This window comes from Homo sapiens, chromosome 10 (genome assembly GCF_000001405.40).
Source record: "Homo sapiens chromosome 10, GRCh38.p14 Primary Assembly".
NCBI lineage: Eukaryota > Metazoa > Chordata > Mammalia > Primates > Hominidae > Homo > Homo sapiens.
This window is the reverse complement of record NC_000010.11, coordinates 114,589,513-114,611,655: the sequence shown is the minus strand read 5'-3', so window position 1 is coordinate 114,611,655 and position 22,143 is coordinate 114,589,513. Positions and strand designations below refer to the sequence as shown.

Genomic DNA, 22,143 nt, shown 5'->3' with positions numbered 1-22,143 from the left:
ACCTCTTTGCCTTGGGGGAATCAGATTAACTGGATTTGAGCAGAAGCTGTTTCTATAATCAGGAGTCCAGCTGACGGTTGCTGACAGCGTCTTTTATGTTTGGAGGAATAGCAAGGACCTATCACGTAGCCACGGAAAAGGCAAATCAAGTATCAGAAGTATCAGAGTATCTTTTTTTTTTTTTTCTAGGCAGAGTCTCACCTGTCACCCAGGCTAGTGTGTAGTCGTGTGATCTCAGCTCAGCAACCTCTGCCTCCTGGGTTCAAGCAATTCTCCTGCCTCAGCCTCTCGAGTAGCTGCCATCTAGAGTACAGGCACCTGCCATCATGCCTGGCTAACTTTTGTATTTTTAGTAGAGAAGGGGTTTTGCCATGTTGGCCAGGCTGTTCTCGGACTCCCGACATCAGGTGATCCACCCGCCTTGGCCTCCCAAAATGTTGGGATTACAGGCATGAGCTACCATGCCCAGCCAAGTATCAGGGTATCTATTTTTTTTTTTTTTTTGAGATGGAGTCTTGCTCTGTCCCCAGGCTGGAGTGTGGTGGCACGATCTCAGCTCACTGCAACCTCCACCTCCCAGGTTCAAGTGGTTCTTCTGCCCCAGCCTCCTGAGTAGCTGGAATAACAGGTGTGTGCCACCACACCTGGCTAATCTTTTGTATTTTTGGTAGAGACAGGGTTTCACTATGTTGGCCAGGCTGGTCTCTAACTCCTGACCTCGTGATCTGCCTGCCTGGGCCTCCCAAAGTGCTGGGATTACAGACATGAGCCACCGCACCCGGCCAGTATCAGGGTATCTTAACTGGTGAAAGCCACAAGTGGCAGGGAAGCCCACCATTGTACTGCCCATCCCCCGGGAGTGTTTGTGCCAACTAATAATTCTGTTTACCGAACTCACATGGTATAAGAAAATGAGGTCGTGGAAGCCAGTTTAAGAGAAGGATCATTTTGGACAACTAATGACTGGGTAACTGTGTATGTAGCTTCAAGTAGCTGCCACTTGCCACAGCAGGAAATGGGCCTTTAGGTAAACTGCAAATTAAGCACTCTATGCATTTATTTAAACTGTTGAGTTTCTTGTTTTCTGGGCTCCATACTAGTGCCGGTCTAGCACAAAGAAAGGGAGTAGGAGGTGGGAGAGCGCACATCTCTGTGATATGTGTTTACAATTCAGTAGGAACCAATGGGGTAGAAGCAGAGAAAATATTCTAGGTAATGAAGCAGTCTCTCTCAAACGTAGACTGCCATGAGAATAGGACTCCTGTCTTTAAGCAGAAGTCAACCTTACCATACAGAGGAGCATCTTAGGATTGCAAATCCAGACCAGTCTCAACCAGAGAGAGATTTCCAATCCTGGCCTCTGCTCAGGCTGGAGGTGGCCGAGAGGGTCCTCCCAATGGTGTGTCGTGTTTCCTTGCTATCTCACCCTGACTCTGTACATGTTCTTCTCCCATAAATGGCTGCAGCCTGGAAGAATTTCTGTTTGTACTTCAAGCATTGTTCCTCATCTGCGTATTGACTAGCAGGTGTTGCTTTTGGAATGATGACGCAGGTGGGCATTCACCAGTTCTGAGCCATACACCCAGGGCCTAGTGAGGACATTAGACTAGCTTGATTTCCTTCTATGCTAGATAATCTTTTCCTGTGGAAATCCCTTACACAGTGCTTCCAAATGTGGCCAAAGTAAGACTGTTTCTTCTTAGCTGTACCTTTTTGGACAAGGTTTTTAACTCTTCTTAGCCTTGGTTTCCTCCTCTGCAAAACAGGAATTGTGCAACAGTCCCTCCTACGGCAATTGTGACGCAGTTATTTTGATTGTGAGTAGCAATTAATTGTTATAGTGCCTGGAACATCATTAAGTATTCAGTGCATTTTACTTGTTATAATAATATAGTAGTGTTCTGGAGTGATTTCTTGCAAATGTCAGAAGTTCAGGACCCTGGACCTTCGCATGGGAGATGTCCCTATAGTGTTATTAGGGATAACCCTATTTTCCCTAATCCAAACATTGAACTGAGAAGTATAGAGATGACAACTCAGGCTATTTGATATTTGAAATCAATATCAGAACTATTTCAGACATTTGGAGGAACTGACCATTGAGCTTGCAGTTTTGTAGGGCCAGGATTATGAAATAAAAGCAAAAGAAACACAAACCAAGAGAAACATTGGTGATGGTACAGATATTCAGTGCTGGAGGACATGGAGGAGAAGGAAATATTTTCTCAATCTAAGCCAGCATGAAAGCTTCAGAGAAGCGCCAGGACCTGGGCTATGCCGTATGGGTCAAGTTTGATTTAGACAGATGGGGAGAAGAGAAACCACAGCAAGTGAGGTTACAGTGGGAGTGAAGGCACTGGCGAGAATGAAGATGCTAGACCAGAAAGTGGTCAGAAGGCCTTGCTCAAGGGAGATTTCTAAATTAATACAAATAAATAGTAGAGTATTTTAGTGCTTGGTCTGCAAAGTCAGACTGTCTGTGATCACATCACTTAGCACAGGGATAAGTACTCAGCAGAGGTAGTTGTTTCTTAAACACCTAAAAAGCTGACATGAGCCATGTTATTGAAGATCTCTGAAGTTAGGTAGAGAACTTTAGGCTTGATGATTTGGGACTGAGAGAGCTATTTGGAACTTTTTTTTTTTTTTGAGGCAGAGTCTCACCCAGGCTAGAGTACAGTGGCACGATCTCGGCTCACTGCACCCTCCATCTCCTGTGTTCAAGCGATTCTCCTGTCTCAGCCTCCTGAGTAGCTGGGATAACAGGCACCTGCCACCACACCCAGCTAATTTTTGCATTTTTAGTAGAGACAGGGTTTTGCCATGTTGACCAGGCTTGTCTGGAACTCCTGACCTCAGTTGATCCACCCGCCTTGGCCGCCCAAGGTGCTGAGATTACAGGTGTGAGCCACCGTGCCCAGCCTTTGTTTTTCTTTTTAAAATAAGCTTTATTTTGTTTGTTTGTTTGTTTATTTATTTATTTTTTGAGACAGAGTTTTACTCTTGTTGCCCAGGATGGAGTGCAATGGCACGATCTCGGCTCACCACAACCTCCGCCTCCCAGGTTCAAGTGATTCTCCTGCCTCAGCCTCCCGAGTAGCTGGGATTACAGGCATACGCCACCACGCCCAGCTAATTTTGTATTTTCAGTAGAGACAGGGTTTCTCTATGTTGGTCAGGCTGATCACGAACTCCCAACCTCAGGTGATCCGCCCGCCTCGGCCTCCCAAAGTGCTGGGATTACAGGCATGAGCCACTGCCCCCGGCCATCTTATTTATTTATTTATTTTGGTGACAGACTTTTGTTCTTGTCTCCCAGGCTGGAGTGCAATGGTGCAATCGCGCCTCACTGCAACCTCCACCTCCTGGGTTCAAACAATTCTCCTGCCTCAGCCTGCCAAGTAGCTGGGACTACAGGCACATGCCACCATGCCCAGCTAATTTTTGTATTTTTAGTAGAGGTGGGTCTTACCATGTTGGCCAGGCTGGTCTTGAACTCCTGACCTCAAATGATCCACGCACCTTGGCCTCCCAGAATTCTGGGATTACAGGCATGAGCCAAGGTGCCCGGCCTATAAGCTTTATTTTCTTAAAACCATTTTAGGTGAATAAAAAAAATTGAGAAGATAATACAGGTATTTCCTGTATACTCAACACTTGGTTTCCCCTGTTAGTAACATTTTGCGTTGGTGTAACACACTTGTTATAATTACTGGACCGTATTGGCACACTGTTATGAACTAAAGTCCACACTATTCAGATTTCCGTAGTTTTTACCTAATGTTCTTTCTCTGTTCTGGGATCCCATCCAGGATCCCACATTACGTTTAGTCATCACATCTCCGTAGGCTCCTCTTGGCTGTGATCATTTCTCAGATGTTCTTTGTTTTTTATGATCTTTACAATTTTGAAGAGTACTTGTCAGGTGTTTTTGTTTTGTAGAATGTCCCTCCATTTGGGATTTTTCTCATGATTTCATAGGGATTATGGGTTTTGTTTTGTTTTGTTTTTGGAAGGAAGACCACAGAGGCAAAGTGCCCATTTTCATCACATCATATCAAAGGTACATTCTGTCAACGTGACTTATCACTGTTGATGTTTACCTTGCTCATGTGGCTGGGGCATTGTCTGTCAGATTTCTCTATTGTAAAGTTAGTCATTTTTTTCTTCCTATCCACATTGTGCTCTTTGGGAGGAGATCACTATGTACAGCCCATACTTAAGGAGTGGGGAGTTAGGCTGCACCTCCTTGGGTAGAATACGCTTTGCTGGTTGCATCTGGAGAAAAACGCCAGAGGCCGGGCGCGGTGGCTCACGCCTGTAATCCCAACACTTCGGGAGGCAGAGCCGGGTGGATCACGAGGTCAGGTGATGGAGACCATCCTGGCCAACATGGTGAAACCCCGTCTCCACTAAAATACAAAAATTAGCTGAGCGTGGTGGTGCACACCTGTAGTCCCAGCTACTTGGGAGGCTGAGGCAGAGGAATCTCTTGAACCCAGGAGGCAGAGATTGCAGTGAGCCAAGATCGCACCACTGCATTCCAGCCTGGTGACAGAGTGAAACTCAGTCTCGAAAAATAAAAAAGGGTGCAAGGGCGTAGGGAATTTTCAGTAATCTGAGAAAAAGGAGTTGAGGGCCTGGGCTGCTGGGGTGAGAAAAGGGATTGAGGCACAGGGGATGTGAAGGTGGACAAATTTGTTGGGAAATGAAGGAGAGGGCAGAATCAAGGTTCAAGCACTGGTAATTAGGGGATTATTCTGGTATAAAGAGGTCTGGATTAGAAGTCACTGCACTAGGTGACTGCCAACTCTTTATTTCTTGGCTGCGCCACCTTGGGTGAGTCACTTCATTCCTCTGAGCCTCAGTTTGTCTATTTCTAAGAAGGGGTTGACAGTACCTGCTCTTCCTACCTGAGAACTCCTGTGAGAGTGAAATGAGATAGAGAAGAGGAAAGGGCTTTGGAAGCCATCAAGCACCGTGTTGTTCCAAAGGCTTATGGGTTAGGGAGTGATGGTGCAGTGGGGAAGGAAGGGGGCTTGAGAGGGAGAATGTGTATGTTACCTGCAAGATACTGAGTATTTCAGATGACCCAGAGCAAGCTGTAACTAAGAGTACTCTGGGCTGGGTGCGGTGCCTTACGCCTGTAATCTCAGCACTTTGGGAGGCCACGGCGGGCGGATCACAAGGTCAAGAGATCAAGACCATCCTGGCCAACATGGGGAAACTCCATCTCTACTAAAAATACAAAAATTAGCTGGGCATGGAGGTGTGCGCCTATAGTCCCAGTCACTAGGGAGGCTGAGGCAGAAGAATTGCTTGAACCCAGGAGGCAGAGGTTGCAGTGAGCTGACATCGCACCACTGCACTCCAGCCTGGCGACAGAGCAAGACTCTGTCTCAAAAAATAAAAAATAAAATAAAAAATTGGACTCTGTCACAGGCTTGTGATATTTACCTGCTACTGCTAAGGAGATTTTTATTTCAAATACGCTTTCCCAGATGTTCTGTTTCTGGCAGTCTAGTTCCACAGTCTGTCCCCCAGAGAGAGGTAGCTTGGGCAAGATGAGGCTAGTTCTGGATTTGGAAAGAAGGACTCTGCTTAGCTTTGTGGACTTCCTCTTATGACCTGCCATGGCCTCTGCTTGACTGCACTGAAGATTACTGGGATTTCTTTAATGGTCTCCTTCCCCCAGTCTCATTGCCTGAGATCGTTAATAGACATTCCAAAAGTAACACATCAAAAATGGCATTTTTGCTTTCTGTCCTGCACTGGAGTTCAGAGACATGGCTGATCTGCTTTGCTTGACTCTGAAAGACAGTGTGAAACTCCTCAGTAAGCAATGCAATTGGCTGCTTTAGCTGAGTAGTGAGAATTCCTCTAAACTGGGTATTCTGCAGTGGAGGAATCCCGTTACCTTTTCAGGCAGGTAGACTCTTGGCTCTTTGTAGGTATTTCCTCATTGTTCAGAGAGTGTGCAGCCATGCTTTTGGTTTTTCATTGTACAATCCTTATTTAGGCAACAAAATTGATGAGCCATGGAAGGTTTGAACTGTGTCTGCTCAAGTTCCAGGGTAAATCATTGACTAGTCAGTACAGTGGAAAGTGCTGGGAGCCTGAGTGCTAAGTATGCCTCTGCCAGTAACTCCTGATGACTTTGGGCAAGGAATGTAAACTCTTTGCTCCTCAGTTTCCCTATCAGTAAAATAAGTAGGGACCGCTTGGGCCTTGAAAGATGGAACAGTCAAGTAAATTTTGCAGCACAACCAGTTGGCAGATAAGGGGAGTGCAGAATCAATGTCATGTCTGTATTGGAAATGACTCAGCATATTTCAAAATTGTAGCATCGAGTCAACAAACATACATGTGGTAACAACCAGACTGTCAAAGACAGTTATATAAAGTTAACCTCTTTATTCGTTTTGGAAAAGGAGAGATATTCCTTTCTTGACACTGACTTGAGTTGGGATGAAATAAGAACTGAATCTTCTGCTCTTTGGATGCTGCCCTTCTCTAGTAAGAACAGCCCATTTCTTTACAAATAGGTTGTTCTGAGATGCCTAGGCTGTTGTGTGAAGGAAAGGCAAGTAAACACAGTCTAGTCTGTGGGTGAAGGCAAAGCAAGTCATCTCTGGGCATGGGGGACTTTGTGGTGTAATGTATATTTCCAAAGGGAAACTTATGCAAAATGCAGATGCTGATCCCAGTTCTGAGCTTGGTAGCTGGTGCCAGCATTGGCAGTGGCTCCTTTGTTCGGACATAGAGAAAAGCCAAGAAGTGAAGTGATATTTTCCTTCCCTCATCATTACTCAGCATGACTGCCTTGCTTAGCAATAAGAAATTCAAGTGTCAAGAGAAACTGCAGTGCATTTTCTTATCCAAAAATGCATTCTCCTGTGTAGTCAAGAGATTCACTGTGTTCTCATATTGTTGCTGAAGAGGATGGTCTTTTGAATTACTTTTGAAATTCTAGCTCTTCTCCATAGCTGGCGTATTCATATTGTCTGAATTCTAAAGGGAAATAGCTCTTAAATTGGAGTATGCGTAAGAATCACTTGAGTAGTTTACTAAAAAGGTAGATGCCTGACTCCCACTCCTAGTCATTGGGGCTGAAGAACCTGCATTTTTAATACATGGTACAGAAGGTTCTGATATGGGGGATCCATAGAGTTGCCTTGAGTGTTACCACCTGGGTGCCATGCTCAGTTATCAAAAACCTTATTGCTACGTGTGTCCCCTTTACAAGCCAAGCCCTAGCTGCTGCTTTTAGAACGGCACTTGAACTTGCCATATAAATTAGAGGCATAATGATAATACTTATAAAAATAATTATTTTTGACTTACAACAATTTTCTGATTTATACAAACAGCATGGAAGGGGCATGAACTTAGCAGTCAGAAAGGCCTGGGCGTGGATCTTTCAGCTTCCTCTGCTTCTTGGGCAGGTTGTTCAGCTCTGCGGCTCTGTTTCCTTATCTGTCAACTGTCAAATGGGAACAGTATTACTCACTTCACTGAGAGAGAGGGGTGGTGAGGATAGAATAAAGTGGCTTATGTAAACACCCTGCACTATGTGTGGCATTTAGTAGATGCCAATAAATACCACTTGTCTTCTTTCTTATAAGAAGCAGGAATTAACTTAAAAAACACAAGGACTTAAGGCAGATATTTTTAAGGAAAACTTTTTTTTTTTTTTTTTTTTGAGACAAAGTCTCACTCTTGTCCCCCAGGCTGGAGTGCAATGGTGCGATCTCGGCTCACTGCAACCTCTGCCTCCTGGGTTCAAGCGATTCTCCTGCCTCAGCCCCCTGAGTAGCTGGGATTACAGGCACGTGCCACCACGCCAGGCTAATTTTGTATTTTTAGTAGAGACGGGGTTTCACCGTGTTGGCCAGGCTGGTCTCGAAGTCCTGACCTCAGGTGATCCGCCCACCTCGGCTTCCCAAAGTGCTGGGATTACAGGTGTGAGCCACCGTGCCAAGCCAAGGAAAACTTTTCTTCTTCTTTTTTTTTTTTTTAATGTGCAAGGGATAGGTTTTTTGGCCTTCATACACATCACTTTAAAAGTCAGTCATTGTTTACAGATCTTGAGAGCATGTCCCTCCTTAATTCCTTTAGATAATAACTGAGTTATGTTGTAAATACAGGTTTTCAAGAGAGATCCCAGGAGGTAGATAAGGAATTGCAGGTGAATTGCAACCTTGGTATCTTTGTGGCCATTCCCAGGGTCCCTTGCAGAGAACACAGATCAGGTGTTCAACCTGAAACTACACCTGCTCCTAGTCAGAATCTCACAAGAAGAACCTTGTTTCTCAGAAGTTAGCTAGTAATGGATTATTTGGACTATCTTGTTCAAACTCTTGCCAGGCAAAATGAGAACACTGCTGAGGTCTGAGAGAAACAGTGAACTATTATATTGTGGTATACAGCGAGCTCCTTGTTGTAAGGTGTTTTCTAAACTGAGTTTCAGCAATATCTGCCCACATCTACCCCCTGCTCAACCTGGTTTTACCTTTGGAGAGAAAATCATCTTTGTGTTGGTTGATTAATTTTAGGTTCAATGTTCTTGTCCCATATAATGCTCATGTCATTCCTTAAGGAGTATGTTTTTATATATCACCATGTTCCTCCTTCTGAGGCCCCACATCAAAAAAGGAATTTGGTAGCAAACACTGCCTATCTGCATTCTCTAGCTGGAGAAACTGCAAGTTAAATGAAGACTCTTGGTGAGCTCAAAGCCACAAGTGTCCCCTCACTGCCTTCTCTCTGGGCCTTTGTAAAGGGCAGGCTGAACATCCCAGTCCCAGGGCTGGGCAGTCACAATAACTTCTAGTCTCTGAAGGCCACACTCTGGAAACTAAGAGTATTCTTTTAGTATTCTCTTAGTATCCTTGTAAGCCCCATCATGTGATGTTAAGGTCTGAAAAGACCCTATAAATTCCCTGGGCCAATCCCCTTTGTTTTATGGGAAAGGAAACTGAGGTTCAGAGAGATCCATGTTGTTCCTAGTTTATTTTTAAAAATTTACTGCCTGCAGTGTGTGTATCAGACACTATGCACATAATGGGAGGCTCATCATAGGCCTGCAACAGGTTAGATGAGTTGCCATTTATGATCGGGAATGACCCTCTGGTAAAGCAGGCTAGAAACTGTTCAGCACTGCTAATTAATACGTAAAGAAACATTTACTGAGCACCTTTGCTACATGAACATTCTGCTATGTCCCAAGAAGCTGGGAAGGAGGGAGAAATACAACTGGTGAGACAAAAAGGATAAACTTTAAGAAATGGTCCCCATCTTCAAGGACCTACAGTCCACAGTGAACTCCTTCTGAAGGTGCCTTCTAAATCAATATAAAGGCATATTACAAGTCCACATAACAAAATATTGAACTAAGCAAGATTGTGTATTCAATAGTTCAATGAAGTCATCCTAGAGAAGTTTGGGAAGAAGGGAGAAGACAGCAGGCTCCATTGAGGAACACGCCTGGTGTTTTCCCCCCGGGACTGTCAAAGCCACAACTGTCTTATGGGTCTTTGTGTCTCTAGGATTATGACTTGGAGGGACTGCTCTGTTCACACTGTCGAATCAATCTCTGTGGCTCATTTGACACCAAAATTACAGAGATACCATGATGACCCCTTTTGCAGGAATGCTCTCTACTCACCTGGATCTTTTGTTGATTTTCTTTCAGTGGCCCACCCTCAGGACCCTCACCACCCATCAGAGAAGCCTGTCATTCACTGCCATAAATGTGGGGAGCCTTGCAAGGGTGAAGTGCTTCGGGTCCAGACCAAACATTTCCACATCAAGTGTTTCACCTGCAAAGGTATGGTGCCTCCAGCTTCGTGGCTCAGTGGCATGCCATGGTCGGGGCTTGCCTTGGGTCCAGCCCATCCCCTTAACTCCACATCCGGTCACTGGATGATAAGCGAATGCTCTCAGAAGCCCTGACATCATTTACTGCCAGTTTGGGATTCAGTTAGACTCTAGGGCGAGAACGAGTCCTGCTAAAACCAGTGATTCGTGGGCCTTTGGGTGCTCACTGAGGCCCCTTCTCCTGGAAGAAGGGACTAACACTGAGAACGAGCAGTAAAAAGGCCGGCTCACGCCTATAATCCCAGCACTTTGGGAGGCTGAGGCGGGTGGATCGCCTGAGGTCAAGAGTTCGAGACCAGCCTGGCCAACACAGTGAAACCCCGTCTCTACTAAGAATAAAAAAATTAGCTGGGTGCAGTGGTGGGCGTCTGTAATCCCAGCTACTCTGGAGGGCTGAGGCAGGAGAATCGCTTGAACCCGGGAGGCAGAGGTTGCAGTGAGCTGAGATTGTGTCATTGCACTCCAGCCTGAGCAACAAGAGTGAGACTCCGTCTTAAAAAAAAAAAAAAAAGAAAGAAAGAGCAGTAAAAATACAGTTCTGTGGTTTTTGCCTTATTTTTTCTTTTTCTCTGAAGTGAAGAACTCCTACTACAAAGTAGCTTGTCCTAATACCCATTAGTTATAGGAGGCCTGGAAAGCTTGGAAGATTGGGTGCCAAGTCACTGGCTTCTGTGTGTGTGTGTGTGTGTGTGTGTGTGTGTGTGTGTGTGTGTGTGTGTGTGTGTGTATTGAGATGTGAGAATTAAGCAACAACACTTGGGAGACCTCTAAGCAGAAAAAGACCTGCCATCCAAGAAGCTACCAGTTTGGTGTTGATTTCCATTAACAAGCCTACCTTTTGGGGTTTACAAAGATTGGCATCTTTGTATGAAATATGCCAACCTGTTATTTCAGAGCCAGGGCATGGCCAACTGGGGAAAAACAGGAAGAAGAATGGTTTTGTGTGTTTGTTTGATAAATAGGTTACTTGGGCTGAGGGCATGTCTGGGTAGCTCAAGATGGGGTTCAAGGATGTCAGAGAAGGAAGGGAGGCGAGACTCAGAGTGCACTCTGTAGATTTACTCTGTGCCCTGCACGGGGTAAGGACCCTCATTCCTATGCCCTGCCTGTGGTACGCACCTTCATTTCTGGAAACTGGGTTTCATTTTGAGTGTCATACGTCACAAAGACTTAGCATTGTCATCCTAAGCCATCTATCCATGGCCACGGGGGCTCTTGGGTAGGTTCCAGTCTTCCTAGTGACCACGAAATACATGAATAAAGGAGGAGGGAGTGCTTTCCTGGAGTCCACAGCTGTTCCTTACACTGAGAGTAAAGTTTTCAGGAGAAAGAACACTAGCATGTGTAGCTAGGGTAAGAAGGTGGAAGGAGTGGAGGGCATGAGCTTAACTCCCTCAAATGAGCTCAATGCTCAGCGCATGACAAGCGTTACAAATGCTGTGTCCACATCTCAGAGGGATTATTTAATCCTCCTGAAAACCCCTGTGAGTAAGTATGATAAACCCCAGTTTTCACCCAACCCAAGATGGCCATGAGGAAATATCAAGGTCACACCCAGGGTGCTGGGCTGTCACGTTGTGTGGCTTGAGTCCTGCCTTGCCATTAAGCAGCTGTCTGATTGTGGACAAGTTACTTGTCTCTCTGTGGCTCAGTGTCCTTATCTGTAAAATAAGGAGACTAGACCATATGAAACTTGTATCATCCCAGGTCTGAAGTTTGCAGGTTCCATATACCAGATAATTGTATATTAATATAGAACCCAATTAGAGCTTCTTAGGGGGTATGTCAGAGAAAAAATGTTTTCTAGTTATATCCAGTTTAGCTAACTTGGAGTCAGCATTGTATTTTTATTTTTTCTCATAAATTTATTGAGACATGGCTCAAAGGATAGATTTGGTATGAAATAAATACAATCCATAAATGACTGCAGCCACATATATTTTTTATTTTATTTATTCTATTTTATTATTTATTTATTTATTTATTTATTTGAGATGGAGTCTCACTCTGTTGCCAGGCTGGAGTGCAGTGGTGTGATCTCAGCTCACTGCAACCTCCGCCTCCTAGGTTCAAGCAATTCTCCTGGCTTGGCCTCCCAAGTAGCTGGGATTACAGGTACCTGCCACCGTGCCCAGCTAATTTTTGTGTGTGTGTGTGGTTTTTTTTCAGCAGAGATGGGGTTTCATCATGTTGGCCAGGCTGGTCTCAGACTCCTAATCTCAAGGGATTCTCCTGCCTCAGCCTCCCAAAGTGCTGGGATTACAGGCGTGAGCCACTGCACCAAGCTCTCTATATATTTTATATTTCTACTTTGAAAGTATGAAGTAGTAGACTCAGATCTGGGCACTCACTGTTCAACACATCACGGTATTTGAAGAGACATTCATTTATCCCCTGTGGGGTGAAAGCTCCTTGCTTTTTTTCTCTTTTAGTTTAATTCTATGGACCAAATGTAAATTCCTCATCTTGGAAAGTTGTATCATATATCTTGTTTCATGCTATAAATGTGTTCTTGAAAAGTTGAGTTTTTGTTTAAATTAAATTCTATTTTAAGAATACTTGCTATCTGTAGGAATTATTTTTCAATTTAACAAAATGTTACTAAAATAAATGAGTCATCTATCCTTATAAATTTATATTTTCTCACACTTAATCTGGCAATGGCTACTATCTTGTGTCCCAACATTCTGGAATCACACTTTTCTTTAATATCTGAAGAAAGTGGTTTAGGTTCCCCATGCCTTATCCCGTAGGGAGTCTGTGACTTTTCCCAAGATTCTAGAGCAGCACTGTCATCACTGCTATAACTGTGGGGAGACTTGCAAGGGTGAAGTGCTTCAGGTAGAAATATCATGCAAGCTGGCACACGTTTACCTGTGTGACAAACCTGCACATCCTGCACATGCACCCCAAAACTTAAAAAATAAATTAAAAAAAAAATGCAAGCCACTTGTATAATTCTAAATATTCTGATAGCCATATTGAAAAGGTTAAAAGGGAAAGGTGTAGTTAATTTTCATTAAAATATTTTATTTAACCCTATCTAAAATATTATCATTTCAACAAGTAATATAAAAAGTATTGAGATACTTGACATTCTTTTTTTTCATGCCACCTTAACACATCTCAATTTAGACTAGACACATTTCTTTTTTTGTTTGTTTTTGTTTTTATTTTGTTTTGTTTGTTTGATACAGAGTCTCACTCTGTTGCCAGGCTGGAGTGCAATGGCGTGATCTCAGCTCACTGCAAACTCTGCCTTCCAGGTTCAAGGGATTCTCCTGCCTCAGCCTCCTGAGTAGCTGGGACTACAGGTGTGCACCTCCACACCCAGCTAATTTTTGTATTTTTTTAAGTAGAGACGAGTTTTCATCATGTTGGCCAGGATGGTCTCTATCTCTTGAACTTGTGATCCGCCTGCCTTGGCCTCCCAAAGCATGGGGATACAGGCATGAACCACTGCACCCGGCCGCACATTTCCTTTTTTTTTTTTTTTTTTTTTGAGATGGAGTTTCACTCTTGTTGCCCAGGCTGGAGTGCGGTGGAGTGATCTTGGCTCGCTGCAACCTCCGCCTTCCGGGTTCAAGCGATTCTCCTATCTCAGCCTCCCAAGTAGCTGGGGTTACAGGGTTGTGCCACCACACCCAGCTAATTTTTTTGTATTATTTGTAGACACGGGGTTTTACCATATTGACCAGGCTGGTCTTGAACTCTTGACCTCAGGTGATCTGCCCACCTTGGCCTTCCAAAGTGCTGGGATTACAGGCGTGAGCCACTGTGCCTGGCCTGGACTAGACACATTTCAAATGGTCAGTAGCCACATGTGGTTAGTGGCTACTGTATTGGACAGCACAGTTCTAAAGATTCCTCGAGGTGTGCATTCCTGTGGTTCCCTCACTCCAAATTCTTGCCAGTGTCAAAGTCTTCGTCTCCTCCTGTGAGTGCTGTGCCTTTTTCATCGCTTCATCCCACACGTTTTTCCTCTCTCTCCTCTTACATAGTACCGCTACCCAAAGGCAGCTGTTTTCAGCAGACTTACTGAAGGTCTAGGCTAATGGTGGGAGGTCACAGCACAGAATAGGCACCAACTGCCCTCGTATTCTCAGGCCATCTCTGACACGAGACATTTCTCATTAGCTAGAGCCTTTTCTTTTCTTTTCATTTATTTTCTTTTCTTTTTGTTTTTCTTTTCTTTCCTCCTTTCCTTTCCTTTTCTTCCCTTCTCATTCCATTCTATTTCTTTCCTTTTCCTTCCTTCCTTTCCCTTCCCTTCCCTTCTTTTCTTTTCTTTCATTCTTTCATTTCCTTCTTTCATTTCTTTCCTTCATTCTAGAGCAGTTTTAGGTTTATGGGAAAATTGATCAGAAAGTACAAGCCAGGGCCATTTTTCAGACTTATTCCAAACCTCATCTGCACCATCTTGACAGGGCTTGCTCTCTCTCCAAAGATGCTTCTCTCTCCAAAGACCCTTCTCTCTCCATCCTAATCAGATCAGCACTCTGAATTTCCTTAGCGTCTTTACTTTTTATAAGTCCCAGCAGCAATAGCAGTCTTTTACCTGAGGAATGCTGTCTTCCTCCTAGCCCAAGTGACCCAATTGCAGCCAAGTCCTAAAACAACATTTTCGTTTTCTTCCTGTTTCACCTAGAGTGGCGATGTTCGGGTACTGAGCTGATGTCCTGGGACAGAGGATTTTGGGTGGGGAGCATGTGCCAAAACAAGCCCGGGCTTTTGGTCAAGACCTGGCTGAGTGCACAGGAGGCACATTCCAGTTCTGACTGTGACCTCGAGTCCAGCAAAGCTTTCTCCCTGGAATTCCCTTCCCTCCCTCCCACCTGCCTCTCCTTCACATGTATACCTTGTCAACAAAGCCTTCTATTTCTTGAGTGGGGGCAGAGGTTGATTTCCCCTAGAAAGAAAGGCCAAAGATGTAAATGAGTTTGGGAATGAAAAGCAAGGATGAACTCTTTTTGCTAAAAATAGGTTTTGAAAAAAAGGAGAAAGGGGACACTGAACATTTTACACAAGAGCTAAACAAATATGAAGGTGGGAAAGGGTTGCGATGGAGGAGTTAGAGTTGATAGCACAAACTTAGATCAGTTTCAGACCCCATAACTTCACAGGTTTAGCTGTGACAAGGTAGGGATTGGTGAGCAGAAATTGTGTTGGTGAACTCATCTCACTTTCTAAAATGCCTGACATTGTGGGATCTGATGGTTCATGAGTTACTCATCCATTTACTACATGTTGTATTTTGTGATGGGGGGTCTCGCTGTGTTGCCCAGGCTGGTCTCAAACTCCTGAGCTCAAGTGATCCTGAGTAGATGGGAATACAGGCATGTGCCACCACGCCAGGCCCATTTACTAAATGTTAATTGAACACATACTCCATGCAGGACACTGTGCTAAGTGCTAATAATAGAGACAGCATACCAGGTTGTCAAGGAACTCCTGGGGTATTAGAAGAGACGTACAAGTAAGCAACATTTATGAGACCAAGTAATAAGTCCTGTGATGGAGAGATGCATAGCATGCAGGCCAGGAGGGCCACAGGGGAGTTAGAATGGAGATGGGGAGAGCCACAGGTGGGAATAGTGTAAGGCAGTAGCAGGTGCAATAGAAAATAGAAGATTTAAGAGACAAAGTTAGGGTTGATAGAATTTGATGACTGACTGAATGGGAGGAGTGAAGAGGGATCCACATGTCCAGCTGAGCTGCCTGGGTAGATAGATGGAGTTGCCACCAACTAAGAAAATATAGAAGCACCTTGCAGGGCAGTGCTGGAGAAAGATGAGTTCAGTTTGGGGTATATTGAGGTTGAGTAACATGGTACATCCAGAGTCCAGTAGGGCTCTGAAATAGTGGTCTATGTTGGGAAGAAGAATTTGGAAGCCTTTGGCATGTGGATAATGGCTGAAGCTATATAACTGTGTGTGAAATTTCCCTGGGAAAGAGCAAAAGGCAGGAACTGAATACTGGAAGATGGCAGCATCTGAAGGAAGGAGAACCTAATTCCCATTTGTCACCTCAGAAAATGTACCCGGGTGGTAATTAGATGAAGGAAGTGGTTTAATTGATGGATGGATTCTGTAATTAAATGAAAAGCAGATCCCAAAAGCTTATGGTATTTCTTATAATAACCCAGTGGGAGTAGAACATGGCTGCAGGGTTCTGAGTGGAGCTATTCTATCTTCAGTATTCACTTTGTTTTTCATCCTTGTCCATTACAGCCTTCATCCCACTAACTTAAAGGAGTTGTTTTAATGTGATCTGTTCATTCTGTCATATCGTTCCAGTGATAGGTTTTTAATGTTTTACTTTGTCTGTATCATGGTTGTATTTTACGCTGTATTAGAGAATAAGAAACCTGAAAACAAAAGGGAAGCATTCATCTCTATTTGGATTTGAATGTGTTGGTATTTGTGCAGATTCTTCTCTGGGGGAATTGCTTCTAACAAAGGACAAATTAGCACTGTCTGGCATTTCTAAATGTCTCTTTAAATGTGAATTATAGTTCATTTTAAGTATACATGTTATATATTTTGTTCATTATTTTGATCTATAATTCATTATAACTATTGTCATTTATCATGAGCATTTTTCAGGGTAAGGACCAAGATCTATTTTTTTTTTTTTTTGCCAGAAACTTCTAGACCATTTAGAAAAGACCAAGGACCAAGGAGACTGCCCAGAGAATCAAGATTGTTCAGCCAAATTGTCTGTTTTCAGTGATCCTTTCCTGGGCTGTCCCATATATAAAATCAACTACTCCCTATATCACATGTCCCTGCCTTATCTTTTTTCTTTTGCATCATTTAATACATTGTATTAATTTATCTTCACCTCCTACTAGAGAGTAAGCTCTTTGAGGGCAGAGATTTTTGTCTGTTTTGTTTACTATAAACCCAGTGCCTAGAACAATGCCTGATATGGCAGGTACTCATAAGGTGAACGAATGAATGAACAATAACCATATGTTTATTTAGAACTTGGTTATTCATAAATTTGTTTTGTTTTGTTTTGTTTTGAGACAGAGTCTCACTCTGTTGTCCAGGCTGGAGGGCAGTGGCACAGTCTTGGCTCACTGCAACCTCCACCTCCCAGGTTCAAACGATTCCCCTGCCTCAGCCTCCCTAATAGCTGGGATTACAGGCACTCGCCACCATGCCCAGATAATTTTTGTATTTTTAGTAGAGATGGGGTTTCACCATGTTGGCCAGGCTGGTCTGAAACTCCTGACCTCAGGTGATCCACCTGACTCTGCCTCCCAAAGGGCTGGGATTACAGGTATGGGCCACCGCACCCAGCCTGGTAAATGTTTTTAATGGCATAGCTAGTCACAAAGATTTATCAATTGCTTTACTATAATGTATGTCTTCCAATGGCTACTAGACAGTAACATTATCTTCTGAAAAGAAAGAGTGCAAGTAAAGATATCTATCACAGATGACTGAGCTACAAGCCTGCCTGGCAGATACCACAGGTAAGGAAACATATGCTCAGGCAGTTCTTGGTTAAACTGTTGCTGCTGCTTAGTTTCACTCTGGTTTAGACCCTTAGCTTTCTCATCTGGGCTCACAGGGACAGACTGGATATGGGTTATTTTGGGGCAAAACTAGAAAACTGATGAAACACCAGAAAAATAGAAGTAGTTTATTGCATTCTCCAAAAGCAGAGCTCATCCTTTTATTACCTATCTAGAGAATCTTAGTCATTCACAAACTGATTAAAAGGCAGGTTAACCAAAATGAGAGAAACATAAGTGTGATATAAATGTGCTCGCTTCTTACTGCAAGTGGGAACCCACTTTCATACTGTCTTTGTTTAGTAAAGGATGATCCTGAGTACTTTATTTTTTGAATTTGTTGCCATGTTGAAGTGTTACCTTGTCAAATAAATATAATTTAGTTTTTAAAACATTTAGGTTTTGAATTCCAAACTGGAACAGGGTAAGGTCTTGTAATCTTTCCAAAATAACACTGCTTACTGATTTTGACTCTTGTTGGCAGATAATTATCCATGAGTCTCTTGTGAGCTGAGGTGCTGATAACTTTTTGTTTTGAATTATCTTTTCAAGGTCATTTGCACAACAAACAGCCCTGGAAGATAGAAATAGTTTTTCCCTCCAGAGTCAAGGGCAGATTTGTTTGCTGTCTAGTACAATAAAGATAATGTCTGCCTCTGGAGGAAGTATTGGGCAGGTTTTCTTGCAACTCATTATACAAGAGTGGGGCTTCCTAGGCTCAGGTTTCCTCAGCTCTTATACAAACCCACTGAGACTGCAGCATCCAGCTAGCCTACTAATGTTGCCCCAAGGGATTTGGGGAGCATGGAGAAACCAGTAACAAATACAAAACTCATGCTGCCTGCTGTGCTGTGATTCTTTTGTTTCTGATCCAGGAGTTTCATGTCTTCTGCCAGTATCCATTATATTGGAGCAGGTGAACTTGTTAGCTTGCAAGTAGGGTAAAATCTCAGATTCTTTTACAGTTCTTGACAACTCTAAGGTCATGTCTATGAATGCTTATTTCTTGAGGAAAGGCATGCCGAAGTTCACCCAGCTTTATCAAGGAAGAACAAATTATCTAAGAAAACGATTAGTACAACCAAGGTTATGAGACAGTTTGTACTATAGAAGGAAGAAAATTGAAATTTTCATCAATCATTTTTAAAATAAGCGTTTCACAACTTATATTGCTGGTTCTTCTTATCTCCTGGCCCTGAACCATTGAGTACCCCATACTCAGAGTGACCTCATCCAGTCTCATGGTTTAAACACCATCTGTTCCCTGACAATTCCCAAGTCTGTACTTCTCTGCATTCCAGACTAGTATCTTCAACAGCCTTCTCAGCATTTCCAGTAGACATCTCAAACCAAACTCTCCAGATTACTAGCCCCATACCCACCCCAACCTTCTTCTTCAGCCTTCTAATTTCAGCAGATATCAAGACTTTCCTTCCACTTGCTCAGGTTAAGAGCCTTAGAGTCATTCTTAACTTCTCTTTTTCTCTCATGTGCCACAAATAATCCATCAACAAATCCTGATGGCCCCATCTTCATAGTATGTACAAAATCTGACCATTTATCATTATCCCAAAGATAAGCACCCTGGTCCAAGCCACCATTACCTCTTGCCTGGATTAAGAATTTTAGCGGGTCTCTCTGCATCTGCCTTTACCCACAGTCCCACCCCACTTTTCCCTCAGTTTATTTTCAATGCAACAGCTAAGATGATCCTTAGAAAAAGGTCAGATCCTGTCACCTTTCCCAAGAACTTCTCATCTTTTGGAATGAAATCCACAGACCTCAATTTGACCTTCAAATCCCCTCCCCACTGTTACTCTCTGAGCTCATCTCCCACCATTTTCTTCCTGTTTCACTCTGCTGAATTCTGCTGTCCTTCCTGAACGTTCTTAAACAAACCAAGTACCAAATAGCCTCAGGACCTTTGCACTTACTATTTCTTTGCCTTGACAAGCTCTTCACTTGGATATGTGTGCTTGGTGCTCTCCCATACCTCCTTTGGGTTTCTTCTCAAATGTCACTTATCAATAAGGCCATCCTTGACACCATCTGATATGTATATGTGTACATAACTGTGTATGTGTGTGCACATATATATGTATTTATATATTATATAAGTTATGTATGGTTTATTTGTGTATTGCCTGTGTCCCCTGACAAGAATGTAGGCACCAGTGGGGCAGGGAGTTTGTATTAGCAATTCTTAGGAAAAAAGCCAAACTTATAGGGGACACTCAATAATATTTATTGACTTGAATGATTGAAATGTTTATCATTGAGTGATATATGGGTTGAATATCCCCAATCCAAAAGTTTCAAATCTGAAATGCTCCAAAACTCTAAAACATTTTGAGGGCTAACAGGACACCCAAAGGAAGTGCTCATGAGAGTGTTTTGGATGTCGGATATTTGAATTAAGGATGTTCAACCAGGAAGTATATAATGCAGATATTCCAAAATCTGAAAAAAAATCCAAAGTTTGAAATACTTCTGGTCTCAGGTGTTTCAGATAAGAGAGGATAGCCTGTACTATTTATAGATAGTTATTTACAAATTATTAAATCCAGGTCGCTAAGACTTGGTTTCAGTTGATATTTTTGTTAAGTATGAGAAAGAAGAATTTTTTTTTGCGGTTCCCAGACGCAGCATTTTTTCACACAGTGAGAAAGTATTCTCTCTTTAATCCTTTTTTTATCCTTCTAATTTCATGAAGCAGAATATCTTTATAACAAAGATAGAACAGCTTTCAGGCCCAGGGATTTTATCAGACAATGGTATCAAAGCTCAAATTTAATTATACCATTTAATATTTGTTTCTACAGATTATATATAGAGGAAATGATAACTGGCTATTGACTTATGACAGTGGTATATACTTGTCTTTTTAAATAGTCATATTTAATAAACATAAACTGATTTTTTTAAATTAAGGAAATAAAATAGGTAGATAAAAACTATGGCAAATAACAGTGAAGGTAGTATCTGAGTGAAACTGGGAAATTCCAAGAAACACCCATCCTGATGGCATGCTTGAATTTGCATCTGAAGTGATGATGTCATTTTCAATGTAGTCTTCAGAGTCAACTTTACCATATTATAGCCATGACATCTATTGAGAAGTAGAAAAACTGCACTTGCATAAATATAGTGAGACAGTTGAACTATTATGGTGAGATTGGTCTCCCACTAATTAGATTGAATTAGTGAAATTTGTATTGTAGTTGAAAAGTGTGATGTAAGAGTTGACTCTATGTTGGCCATGATTTTCTTTCATTTAATCTGAGAAGGGATTTTGATGGTGTCTAGAGAGGTATTCTAGACCAAGTGGGAGGCAGAGGACAAAAGGAGGGTTCCTTGATAAGATCAACCAAGACCAAATGAAATAAGCACCTTAAAATTTTTTTGTCCATATTAAACCCATGCAGAAGGGTTTGGAGTAGGCTTTCTCTGTGATGGAAGTGGCCTTTGGGGGTACCTTCAAATTGACTTCTTCATCCTTTCCCTGTAGGTCCCCAATGTCCCACTATCTGCCATGAAAAGCCTGGGCAAGGCAAAGGGTGGATCTCACTTTCCTTCCAGGAGAGAGTATTTACAACTTACCTCAGCATCAGTGACAGGCTTTCTGCTATGCCTGCAGAACTAAAACTAACTAAAACCCTGGGTTTCTCCTTATTCACATTACAAGTAGCAGAACCTTTAGTGAGAAGTACGGAGAACCTCAGTAGATATCAAGTATCAGGAAATACTATGTATACAGTTTAAAAGCTAATTGGAAAGGGGTTAAACTTCTAAAACTCTTTAGTGCAGAGTTCATAAAGTGTGGACCAAGAAGAACCTAACTCAGAGTGACCCAGACGCTGATTAATGGTTCACATTCCTGACCTCTCACCTCCAGTCTCACGGTCAGCATCTCCGTGGTTGGGGTCTAGCATTTTCAACCAGCTTCTTAAGTAAGTACATCTTATGTCACTCAACAATGGGGGTATGTTCTAAGAGACACATCATTAGGTCATTCCATTGTGTGTGAACATCATAGAGTCTACCTCCACAAACCTAGCTGGTATAGCCTACTGTACAGCTAGGCCATATGGTGTAGCCTATTACTCCTAGGCTATGAAGCTGTATAGCATGTTACTGGACAGAATTTTGTAGGCAATTGTAACCCAATGGTAAGTATTTGTGTATCTAAACATATCTAAATATAGATCAGGTATAGTAAAAATACGGTATAAAAACTAAAAATGGTACACCAGTATAGGTCACTTACCACGAATGGAGCTTACAGGGCTGAAGTTGCTCTATGTGAGTCAGTGAGTGAGTGGGGAGTGACTGTGAAGGCCTAGGACATTACTGTACACTACTGTAGACTTTATCTACACTGTACACATAGACTATGCTACATTTATAAATAATGTTTTTCTTTACTAATAAATTAACCTTAGCTCCCTGTAATTTTTACTTTATAAACCTTATTTTTAAAAAGTTTTTGACTCTTTTGTAAAACATTTAGCTTAAAACAAACTCTAAAAAAAGAAAAAAGAAAGAGCCAGGCATGGTGGCACACATTTGTTGTCCCAGCTACTCAGGAGGCTGAGGCAGGAGGATCAAGTGAGCCCAGTAGCTCAAGGCTGTAATGGACTATGATCGCACCTGTGATTAGCCACTGCACTCCAGCTTGGGCAACATACCAAGCCCCTCTCTCTCTCTCTCTTTTTTTTTTTTTGAGACAGAGTCTCACT

At 42.7% G+C, this 22,143-nt stretch overlaps 1 protein-coding gene across 40 annotated transcripts in view; it reads left to right on the top strand.

The window, feature by feature from the left end:
- The window catches only part of ABLIM1 (actin binding LIM protein 1), a 370,264-nt gene that overhangs the window by 189,718 nt on the left and 158,403 nt on the right, over positions 1–22,143 (top strand). For all 40 annotated transcript variants that reach the window (XM_047425242.1, XM_047425238.1, XM_047425237.1 and 37 more), the window contains 1 exon segment: positions 9,695–9,829. In XM_047425242.1, coding sequence (XP_047281198.1) covers positions 9,695–9,829 — 135 coding nt within the window.